This window comes from Homo sapiens, chromosome 8 (genome assembly GCF_000001405.40).
Source record: "Homo sapiens chromosome 8, GRCh38.p14 Primary Assembly".
Lineage (NCBI taxonomy): Eukaryota > Metazoa > Chordata > Mammalia > Primates > Hominidae > Homo > Homo sapiens.
In genome coordinates, this window is record NC_000008.11 from 87,606,717 (window position 1) to 87,619,408 (window position 12,692).

General features: G+C 32.6%; 1 long non-coding RNA gene across 1 annotated transcript in view, besides 1 other annotated feature; it reads left to right on the plus strand.

Annotated features, from left to right (window-relative positions):
* Positions 971 to 1,695: an enhancer, noted in NCBI's record as "NANOG hESC enhancer chr8:88619915-88620639 (GRCh37/hg19 assembly coordinates)". NCBI's record gives its function as "activates a minimal SCP1, AML or CMV promoter by ChIP-STARR-seq in primed H9 embryonic stem cells {active_cell/tissue: H9 hESC(primed)}" and the evidence as "EXISTENCE:reporter gene assay evidence [ECO:0000049][PMID:30033119]".
* Positions 3,057 to 12,692, plus strand: part of LOC105375626 (uncharacterized) — a 58,659-nt gene continuing 49,023 nt past the window's right edge. The window contains exons 1-2 of the long non-coding RNA XR_928380.2: positions 3,057 to 3,138; positions 3,823 to 3,862. This is a non-coding gene — a long non-coding RNA (uncharacterized LOC105375626). The remainder of the gene's footprint in view (positions 3,139 to 3,822; positions 3,863 to 12,692) is intronic.

Genomic DNA, 12,692 nt, shown 5'->3' on the forward strand with positions numbered 1-12,692 from the left:
ACTGGAAGAATCATATTATGAATAGTTATGTTTTTACTTGGATTTAGCTGCCAAAATATTTAAAAATATCTCATAAACAAAGAACATTTTTTATGATAAATATGACTGTGGAATGTTCCCTTGATTATTTTGTGATATTTTGGAAATGTTTAAAAGGTTCCCATATTTCTTAATGTTGGAAAATGGCTTCCAGTATTTCTAATATTCACAAAGTCATGTAGTCTATTTATCCTTTCCTTTGAAATTGTGAAAGTCTTCAATTGCAAGTAAAGTCAGTAAACACGTTAATCTATATCAGTGCATTTAAATGTTTTATTTTAATTTTTTGGCAATTTAAAGTGCGTATATCCATGCAGGGTTTAATGGTGTATACCTAGTAAATAAGAATACATATCTAGGACAGTTATTCTGCATGACAGCAGAGAAATGTCAAAGTAGTAAGAGTGCTAGAATTCAATCAACTATAATAAAAGCTCAAGAACAGAAAATACTCGTATTTAATAATTGCACTAATTTTACTTAATTTACCTTTCATACTAGTTAAATCTGTCATTGCAAATGTCCATGAATGACAGTTTATTTTTATTTTCTTCTTTTATTTTATTCTGATAGGATAAAAGTGGTGGTATAAGTTAAAAAATATATATGACGAGATAATATATGTAACTGTTTTACTGAACAGTTAACTTCGGTAAAATGACAGAGACATATGACTGTGACACAAAGTTATTGTTTTACATACTCAAAACATGTAATTGTACAATTTCTAAAAAATTAAGGCCTAATTACTATGCTACTTTATCTTCTTTCCACCACATCTAATTCATGTTCCTTTGCAGAGCCATGGTATTGTAGGAAATGTCTTTGTTTAGATTGGTCTAAAGATAATGACAATTATACTACCCACACCTCAAAACTATAATTTCTAAACTATCATTTCCTGGCAAGAAATCCCTTTTTAGAAACGAGTGTTGTTGGTTTTTTTTTTCATTTTTCTTTTTTAAAATCAGCCACGTACTGTATTTATTGTGAAAGCAAGTCTCTTCATTTTGATTAGTTAACAGTTTGGAATTCTAATTAAGTGCTCAAGATGAATAAAGGAACAAGTTCTTCCAGAAAATAATAATAAAAAAACAAAAATCATAAGAAAATGTCTGTATCACCTCAAAGAGAGAGGGGGAGAAATGTAGGGTTGAATCCACTTCAAAAATCCTTCTGACAAAATGACCTTTAAATAATCTACCAGTTTACAATTGATCTCTTCTGTTCAGGAGGCCCCAGGGGCTTTCCTTGATAAGATTCCACTTCAAAGCATGCAGCTTAAATTGCAAACAAAGGGAACTTACACTTCTTTAGCTTACTATGCAAGCTGGTTTTAAAATGTCCTGATCTGTATTGAACTTTACTAAATTTCTGCTCTGGTTACATCCGGCACAGCAGTCAACACATCAAGATTCATAAAAGAATGAACTACTAAAAACTTGATATCAAAAACATTGCAGGCAGTCAAAGTAGAACAGTAATTAATTACATGTCTTGCCCATCAAATAGTTATAAATAGTACATCAAAGCTTACATCGTTTGAATACAACTGAAATTTGGGTTGCACTGGGGAAAGATCCTAGGTGTCTGTCAGAGAACACGTAATTACAAAAAAAAAAGAAAAAAAAAAACCCCAAAATCAAAGGTTTCCCAAACTTAGATGTAGACTCATTTAAGAGTCACCCAAAATACTTAACCTACTCTAATCTTGAATGAAGTTGGTTTATGTTTCATTGCTCTTAATTTTTGTTAAATGATATTGATTGCTCTGAACAATGCACCTAGGATGTTGTACTTTGGGGAAGAAAAATGACATTTTCTTGATTTATTCTCAGAAGCAAGGGCATTTGGATTTTAACAAAATGTACTCATTTCAACAGTATTTGCCAACCCCAAAGTCAACCATGCTAAAACGGCAAGCTGTTACAAATAATCACAATGGCACAGAGTAGATTTATTTCTCTTTCAGTACAATTCTCTTTCAGTAAACAACTTGAACTAACAAACAAATATCTTTGAGAGCACCATAAAACTTCCATAACTTAGCTGAGGCAAATTGTTTCTATAAAAGGTGTAAGTAAAGATTTACAGTCGTTCTTATTGAGTTGCTAAGTTGCCAAGACCTGACATGTATTTACATAAAAGTTTCTTTTTTGTTGTCAAGACGTTAGACTATTAGCTTCCAAAATTCTGAAAAGAAATAAAAGCTATCATATGTACAAATGTTAAAACATATTTTCAACATGTGAGCAACAAAGTGAGTATGAAAACACCAGCTGGTCCTGTGTTCAGTGGCACTTCAATGTATCATTTCACCCTGAATTTGTCAGGTAATAAGGAAATTATAAATTTTTTTTCAGAATAGAGTTAAGTTATTGCTATTAGATTTTAAATTTAGACCCTGAATTTCTGAAATAAAATAGAATATTCGAACTAATAGATGACAACAAGAGAGAAAAAGTGAGTCTACTTTAGACAGAGTTTTCAACAGTTTCTTCTCAAGAGTATGATATTATAATGAAGACCAGAACACAAAAACTAGCCAGGAAATTTCTGAGCAAATAAAAAAGTAAGTAAAATATTTTAAAATCAATTACAATGGAAAGATGTACTATTTGGCATGAATAAGAAAATAACTTTGAGGAATTATGTTGTATGTGTCAATCAGCAAATCATCTCTAAATTTCTATCAATATTAAATTCTGATTTTGTTTGTAATAAATGCAAAACAAATTCGAGATTTCATAGTTTACTTTGTCTATTCCAATCTTGGAATATTAGGATATTCCAAGATTAGGTTGAAGGGAGAAGAATTTATTAACTTTGCCGTCAAATCAATGCAGTTACCTTTGGCAAATTGTGTATCATTGATGCCAGCAAGAAAACAATTTAAAATTTTCCTGACCAATAACCCTTAACGAACTTTAAGGTATTTGTCAGTGTTCTCCCTGCAGGAAAATTAACCAGACTTTGTAATTCTCACCATTTTCATGAAGAGATATTGTCTTCAACACCGAAAATTCTAATATGTCTCATCTTCATTCTTTCAGATTGCATCATGGACAAAAGAAATAACAGATTTCATTTGTCTCTATGGTGAGTATAGACATTTGTTTGTAGCTATATCTCACTTTTTCAGCTGAAAATGATGAGTAAATCAAATAATGAGTGACGACTTCCCTATTACTACTTTTTTTTTCTTAATAAAAACAACAAGAAACAAGATAAGGTTATGGGAAAGTAGGGGATTTTCATTGTTCACTGAAAATACTTAAAAGAATTATCCTTGGGGAAATCAGTGAATTTCTGTGTAAAGAGAGGACATCAAGTTCTGTTTTCTTTCTGTAACTGTACATCTAAGGTAAAAATGGTAATTCAAGGCCCTCATAATCATGAAGTCTCTTTCAGTAATAAGTAAAGTCTTTGTATAAATGCATATAGAAAAACGAATGAGTCACTATGGCATACTGGAATGAATGTTTTTACCAAATGCAATATTAAGCATCTCAAATTCTACCTTTATGTACAGAGTAGAAATTAGTAGATTTTTGTTCTAGCTAAAATTTTGTTTGGCAAGAAAATATTTCCAACATTTCATGAATTTCAGAAGCCTTTGAAATTTTACAGCTTAGGAATTATACCTTGATGACATTGGCATGCATATAGTGACTAAAATTGAAGAACTTTCTGCATTGAAAGACGTTACTAATTTCATCCAACTGCATGATGAAAGTAAATGAATTAACTGCCAATCCTCATTGCCTTTTTTCAAAATTCTAGAAAAACATCAAGATAATTTTACCTTACCAAAAATTGCACAGTAAGTATCACATTTTCCTCAATATTTTCTTGAAATACAATAATAGTTAATACAGTTTTCATAAAAATGATATTTTTTACAAATTAAATTTCAGAGTAATGGAAATGGAAATTAAATAGTTCCCCTAAGACATTTGTATATAGTTGTAAGATTATACCACATTGTATTGCATTTCTTTCCAAAATTATATTCTGTAGAGTATATATATTGCCTTTGTATTAACTATAGGAATAACACTATATAACAAATTCTCACTGAGTGCCTTTCAAGTGACTGGCACCAAGGTAAGTACTAGACTCAGAGCACAAAATAGATAAAAATTTTAGTTAGGGAGGTAGAGGAAAGTGAAATTGTAGATGACCAGCATTGCATATATGGGATAAAATAACACTAAAACAGAAGAACTTGTAATATCTAACACTCATAGGTTCATTTTGTAAGGTAGGAAATCATGGCTCAAATTCCCCAAGTGATAGCACATTTTGATTCTATTTCCTAATTTCTTTTTAACCTCATCACTTAAAAGGGAAAAATAATAGAAACTGTTCGAAGAAATTTCCTTGAGTCTTTTCTTTCTATTTGGAGACTTTTCATCTGCACTGAAAATGCTAATGTGTTTCATTTACCGATCATCTCTCACTCCATTGAAAACTAATATGTTTCCAGCAATGCCAAGAAGAAAACTCAGCGTTAACTCTCATAGTCCTTCCCTATATCACTATTCACAGGAGGGGTGAAATGAGCAGTTGTATTGTACTGAGGAGAGAATTATCACATTTTGTTGCATATTCAAATAGACTTGCTATATTTGGTCCAAAGGCTCAAATATTACCCTGAAATGAAATTCAGCGTCCCTGCTGATTTTTCAAGATGTGTTTTTCAAAAATTCACTTTATAGTACACAAAAAATTAATATCACTTTCAAATATAGCTTTCTCTAGGGAAGAGCTGTAACTATGACTCCTACGGAATAAATACCCTCAACTTAACTGGTCATTAGATGTCACTCCTCTTTCAAATGGATAGAGCTGAAAGAGGGTTTCTGTTTTCCTTGGCAGCAAAACCAAAATGCATCCAACAAGGAATAAAAAGACATTCAAATGGGAACTACAGATGTGTGAACCATTTGGAAAAATAACTTGCACTGAGTTAAGTGAAATTTATGAAAGTCTTTTGAACTAGACTTAGAACCACTTTTAAAGTTTATATCATTGGAAGTATTTATATTTATCTTTTACCAGATAGTTGTATATTGCCCTTAGTGGTCGCCTGTTGTTTTTCATGAATAAATTTAGCTCCTGTGAAACTGCCAGAAAGTCACTCCTGGAGATGCAAGTCTACTTGAACTACTTGAAACACAAACAATAACATGAAAAAAACTTCCTCATTCTTCCCTGGTCTTATTTTTTTTTTAATTCAATTCTCAGTTTAGAGAGAATCACCAAAAGAATTAAGAATAACAGCATCCTTATTCACTTGGAATGAGCAAGAAAATTCACTGGTCTAGTAACAAAAGGTACCGATACCTTTGTTAGGCATGTCAGTATTCCAAATTCTTTCTAATGACTCTATTTCTCTCTCTCTCTTTTTTTTTTTTTTTTTTTTTTTTTAAACTCCCAGTGTGAGTCCTAATTTCGCCTTTGGACAAGATTGAATAGTTACCATTCAAAACAGTCAATCAAATAAGCAAGTTAGGGAAACCTATGAGGTCAACATGCTTTCTCCATATGTGTTTTGTGGTAATTATATGTTGTAAAAATTAGTAGAACAGGTACAGGTCAGCACTATAATGCAGTAATGACTGCTTTGTTAAGACAAATCAATGACATCAGGGAGGAAAATAGGTTAATTTTTTGTTTGTTTTAGATGTGGTGTAACACACTAGTTAAAAGGAAATAAAACTGCCACTGTTTCTTTTGTTCTTGATGCTTATAATCTTTTTAGGTTTCTCGCCTTATGGGTTACGCTTCACTCTGAGTATTCTCTTCATTGACTAGATCTGATATATTTCAGTTCACATAACTTAAAAAAATAAAGCAAATCATGTTATTAACTTGAAAAATCTAGGCTTCCCTCAAATAAAAAATATATTTGTCATAGGATAATATAAATATTGTCTTATACTCCTAAAAATGAGTAAATGGCAGTGAAAAGTTTCTAGCTCAAATATATTACAACTATTTTTAAAAGATTGCTTTATATGCAGATTGAAAGGTCATCAGAAACTGAAAAGTGGCATTCTAATAGACAAGCATAACATTTTCAAACAGGTCTTAAATTATATGTTTGTTTTTTATGTGCTTTCATCTTTAATCCAGGAAAATTGTTCTGTGTTTCTAATTTATATTACTTAGCAGTAGGAAACTTAAAAAGAATCATAGGTTCAGTAGGCAAAGAGCAATAAGTACCCTAGCTTAAAATGAGGATTATTCAGTCACTATAGTTTTCAATATGATTTTGAAGCTCATACGCTTTTTTACAACCCAGTGTGTATGGCATTAAATTTGGGGCTTCACACATTTTAAAATACTTATGTTAAGATTAATGTCACAATAGTAATTTTAAGAAAAAGATTACCAATAAAATCTCCCAGTGGGGAAAATATAATCTATCATATCATTCTTTCTTATAATGAGGATTAAATATAAAACAGAGTGGAAGGGATTTTAGTCTACCAGAGTTTTCCGTCACTTATTTACCTAGTATTTATCATAGCTGCATAGATGCTTACTTCTCTTTTAAATCGGGTAAAGAAGCATTTTTCACTTTCCTTGGGGAAGTAGAAAAAGGGTTTGGAGATTCGTAGTGACCATTTCTTAAAGGCCACCAAGTGTTAGGTGCAGTTTGCTGCACTCTGCATGATTTGTTAGGTTTTGTTTCACCTGCTGCTTTGCTGTTTCATTTGTCACGAATTCCTTTTGGAATTTCTGCCTTAATTCTTGGTGCTCAATTTTTGTTTATTTGAGAATTTATCAAGTTTTTTTTTAAACATTTTAACTCAAGCAAAACCAGAAGACCATTGATTAATTATTCATATGAAAAATAGAAGGTAAAAACTCTAAAGGTAGGGCTTTTGGTAAAAATCTACCAATAGAAGCAGTGATAACAATAGATATACTGACAGTAGCTAACATTTAATTAAAATGTATTATATACTAGACAATTTATGAATGCTCTATTTAATTTTCCCAACCAAATTATGAGAACAGTTTCCTTTCAGAAAACTGGGGCATTGAAAGGCTAAATGAGTCCAGGTGCAGTGGCTCATGCCTGTAATCCCAACAGTTTGGGAGGCTGAGGCAGGGGAATCACTTGAGCTCAGCAGTTTGAGACCAACTTGACCAACATAGTGGGACCCCCATCTCTACAAAAAATTTAAAAAATTGGCCAGGCATGGTGGCACATGACTCTAATCCCAGCTACTCAAGAGGCTGAGGCAGGAGGATTGCTTGAGCCAGAGTGGTCAAAGCTTCAGTGAGCCGTGATCATGCCGCTTTACTCTAACCTGGTCTCATTCTGTAAGATCTTTCCTGTCTCAAAAAACAACACACACAAAAAAAATTTAAAAAAAGGCTGAACAATTTATCCACAGTCACCATTAAATACGTTTTATATACAAAAATAGTGTTAGATGCAAAGAATATTAAGGTGGAATTTTTATATTTGTAGTTCAATATTAGACATATATAAAATGTAAAGCACAGTTTTAGGCACAGGAGCTTATAGAAATTCCTTATATTACAAAAAATGCACAATCAGGTAGTGAAAACACATATATAAAGAGTTAATGAGATAGAGTCCAATGGGCAAAAATGCAGGGATGTATACAGCAAGTAAACATGGTCAGGTAGAACTTATATATGAACAACATTAAGAATATTGGCTTTAATAATTAAAGAGAACATTCTAGGTATTGTTATTCTATGTAGGAGAGAGTAAAAGGGAGCAATCAATGTTATCAATGTTTATTAGAAAGACAGTGAGGTCCATGTTTCTTTGCTAGTTGTTGGTCAGAGTTAATCTCAGTTCTAAGTGGCTACTATCAAGTCCTTGCCACGAGGCTTCTTTCATCTTTGATGCTAGCAATGGAGAGTATCTCTCACATCGAATTGCTCTCAGGATTCAAATATATCTGACTTCAGGAAGAGCCCAGTTCTTTTCTAAAGCTCACCTGATTAGTTCAAGTCCTTTAAGAAGGACGATCATCAACTGTGCCTTATAAGATAAACCAATCATGGAGTAAAATCCATTATATTCACAGTCCTCAGGGTTACATAGAGTGTGTATATCCCCAGGGGCTGGTGATCTTGGACATTGTTGTGGAGTGTATGTATGTAGCCCCCAAAATTCATATGTTGAAACCCTAACCCCCAGTGGGATGGTATTAGGAGGTGGACCCTTTGGGAAGTAATTATGTCATGAAGGTGGAGCCCTCATGATGGGATTTGTGCTCTTATAAGAAGAGACAAAAAAAGAGTTTCCTCTCTCTTTACCCTTCACCACCAGAGGATACAGCAAGAAGACAAAAATCTACAAGCTAGGAAGACAGCCCTCACCAGAATCTGACCATGCTGGCAACTTGATTTCAGACTTCCCAGCCTCCAGAACGAGAAAAAAAAAAAAAAATCTGTTGTTTAGGTCATCTGCTTTATGGTCATTTGTTATAGCAGCTGAAAACAGAGATCATTTTAAAACTCTGCCTACCACAAAGACCACTCTATAAATAATGGGTGTTGATCTTTACATACCTGTATATCTATATGAACTTCCAGGAAATAGACTTGTCTCATTAGCTACTTTATTTATTTATTTATTTATTTTTTGAGACAGTTTCGCCCTTGTTGCCCAGGCTGGAGTGCAATGGCACGGTCTTGGCTCACTGCAACCTCCGCCTCCCAGGCTCAAGCAATTCTCCTGCCCCAGCTTCCCGAGTAGCTGGGATTACAGGCATGTGCCACCATGCTCGGCTACTTTTTGTATTTTTAGTAGAGACAGGGTTTCACCATGTTGGTCAGGCTGGTCTCAAACTCCTGACCTCAGGTGATCCACCCATCTCAGCCTCCCAAAGTGCTGGGATTACAGGCGTGAGCCACCACACCTTGCCTCTACATTTTAAAAAATATAACACTTTACTTTTTAAAAATTGTAGACCTAGTTCCTAGTTCAATATTAATGCCAATGTAGTATGTTCACTTTTTAAGTTAGTGTTTCTCATAAGGAATTCTTAGTTCTATAGCACCGCCATTCCCTGAGGATAATTCTTTAAAAAAATAGACAAAATAAAATGGATGCAACTATAGATATTTATTCAACCTAGGAGAAGGCCTAATGGACACGTGGTACTTCTGTCCGTAACCAGCTATAAAAAGGATTCTAGGAAGCTCTCATCCTCCAAATACTCCTTACTATTTATAACAAATATGCCCTGCATTGCTGTCCACCATCAATATCAGTTACATTATTATTGAAATAGGAATTTGCAATGGAAAATTTAAATCAAATAATAACCATATTATAATAATAACAGAATGTTATTTGACAGGTAAATATGCCTAAAGTCTGGTCTTGTCCTGGGTAAATAACATTAAAGTAAAAAGTCCTTCATAAAGACAGTGTATGAGAGGAAATAAGTAACATCCCAAAATTCCAGTGAACACATATTTTTAAAAAGGCAGTATGTGTTGGATAACCATTAAATACAAATAGGTCAAATAATAAGGAATCATGGAGTAACCAGTCAGTTTAATGTGGATTCCTCATCTCTCTCAACCCAAATGAGCAACTGATCGTCTCCTGACTGTTCTTCATCTATGTTGTCAAAAGTGTAATATCCTGAGTTGATTTTGTTCCAAATCACACATGGAGAACAGCAGCAGAGGGTATCACTGATCAAGCCAGAGGCCTCTGACTGAGTGTCAATACTGCCATGACAGCTAGGTTATGACCATCCACCCAAGGACTCTTGTCAATGGAACTTTGCTTCTGTTGATTAAGAAAATCACTCTCCCTATTCACCTACCCTAATTAGTTTACTTTGGAAACTAATACAAATAGTATTGCACAAACATAGGCATTCTACTGATGCTTTGTTTTTTTATTGATTTTTATTTTGACCTATGTGAGTTGATTCACATTTTATTTCCAGCAAAATTCTCCATATGATATATAAAGCAGAACTTTGGAGGCTTAAGAGCTTTTTAAAAAAAAAAAAAAAAAAAAAAAAAAATATATATATATATATATATATATATATATATAGAAACAGAGTCTCTCTCTGTCACCTAGGCTGAACTCACTGTAGCCCCCAACTTCTGGGCTCAAGCAATCCCCCTGCCTCAGACCAGCCATAATAGCCTTTTGTATAAATAAGTCGATTTCTAAATGTTCCTATAATGAGAATTTTGAGCCTGCACGTAAGTGCAAAAAGTCAGCTTACCTCCTTCCGACTATATATATTTGTTTGATATGTTTTCATAACAAATTAAACTCTACACACTGTTAAGTGACACAAAATATATTTCCCACTACACTTTGTAAATGTAGCTGATGCAGAGCTATAAGACTGATTTTTGTACATTAATTTGATGTCTAGCTATATTGCTATATATTTATATTGATTCTATTAATTAGAAGATTCTTCAGGTTTTCTATGTACAATCTGTAAATAATTACATTTTTCTTCTTTACAAGTTAATATTTCAATTTTAATTTTACTATTTATTATTATTTGGTGTTACATAGTGACTTGGGGTTTCATTTCAATGTACAATAGAAGTGACGATAATGAGAACTTTGTGTTATTTCCTAATATTAAGGGAATGCATATAAAACTGTTTGCCAAAAATTATGTTTTACAGGAATTTAATAGACACTCTTTATTAAGATAAGAATATCTCCCTCCTTTTCTAACTTGCTAAGAATTATAAATGGTTGTTGCATTTTATATAAAAAATTCTGGATCTACAAAGAAGAGTGCATGTTTTTCCCCTTTTAATATGTTCCTGTGATGTAGTACACTTACTTTTTCTCTACTATTAACCTTCTGAGATATATCCAAGTTGGACATTATGTCTTTTTTCTTTCTTTTGGTAACCTTAATAATTCTGGTTTGACTCTTGTTTGTTTGTTTTATTTTCTTTCCTCTGTTGACTTTGATATTGGCTTTGGTAAAATTCTGCTGCTCTCACAGATGTGTTGAGGAATGGTCACCATTTTTGTATTCTCTGAAAAGGGGTTTGTAGAAGATTGGAATAAGTTTTCCTTTAAAACATTAGTAGAATTCATTTATAAAACCAGCTGGACCTGTCACTTTCTTTGTGGGGAGATTTTTACCTACACAACTACGTTCATGGTCATAGAATGTTTAAACAATTTCTCGATTTCTTTTTTAACCTGTTTGGTTAAGATACATTTTAATAGGAGTTTAACAGTTCTATTAATTTTTAAAATCTACTGCAAATGTTTTAATGCATTATTGTCTTTGATATTTCAGTATCATTTATACATAAAAAGAATCCCAGTTTCCATTTCTAATATTTACTTTTGACTTCTCTCTTTTTTGTTGATCACTGTTTGCCTACTTTAAAGATCTTTTCCAAATATAAACATTTGCTTTTTAAAATTCTTTCTAGTATGTCTTTGTTTTCTGCAATGTTCATTTTTGTACTTATTTTATTATCTTTATACTTCTTATTTAATTCATTTTTATTTTAAAATTTCTGGATATAGATTTGTGGCTCATTAATTTTCTTCCTGCCATTTTTTCTCATATATATATTTAAGGCTATGATTTCTTTCTGATGTATTCTTCCTGGTCACTCCTTTATACAGTTCTCACTCAGTCCTCAGTGCTATCATCACATGTAATCTGTGCTCTTAGAAAATTTATATGAACTTGTGTTTTCTTGATATGTCTGCCCTTTTATTGAACTATGAATTTTTTAAGAAGAGTCATACCTAGTTCAACTATTTATTCCTTATGCCTATGCAATTCTTGGAATATGCAAAGTTTCACTGAATATTTGTTTAATAAATTAATTAACAAAATAATGAGTATTTTTAAGTCAAGGAATTTAAGCTGTTTGGACATTACAGTATTAACACTGAAATTAAAAGTGGTTTAATAAAATATAGAAAAAAGACCTTAAAATTAAGCCTTTGATACAGCAACTTGATACATGGCAAATCAGGTAGTACAGAGCAATGAGGAAAGAAGAACTTGTACATACAATAGTGTTGGAAAATCTGGATAATAAATGTAAGAAGACACTTACATTACACTCTAACAAACATGAATCTTCTAGTAGATTTCAGACCTAACTATAAAGGTAAGAGAAAACAATATGAGAGAATGCCTTAATGAAAGAAAACATAGGAAAATACCTTCATGGTAGAGAAATCATCAAAATTTCGGAAACAAAAACCATGAGGTGAAAATGTGGTGGATTAAGTTATGTCAAATTTAAGATTTTTTTGACAGAGATAAGGATTGCTATCCTACATAACTATAAAAAAAGTGTTTTGGCCTCTCATGTAGCTAGATTGGGAAACTATGTCATTCTGGCCAGTGGAGTACAAGCAAAAATGATAGAGTTACTTCTCATCAAAGATACTTAGGTAAGATTGTAAGGTCAAACCATGCTCTTTATTTTCCCTTCCTCTGAAACAGTAAAAGCCATATTTAGATGGTAGAGCCACAGATGGAAGACTTTTAGATCCTTAAGTCTCCATTCTGAAGAGATTGTTCTGGAGACCGACCAGAATTGCAAAAAACATGGGTCACCTGTTACTGCAGCGTAGCCTGTTCCATCCTATTACACATATCAATAAA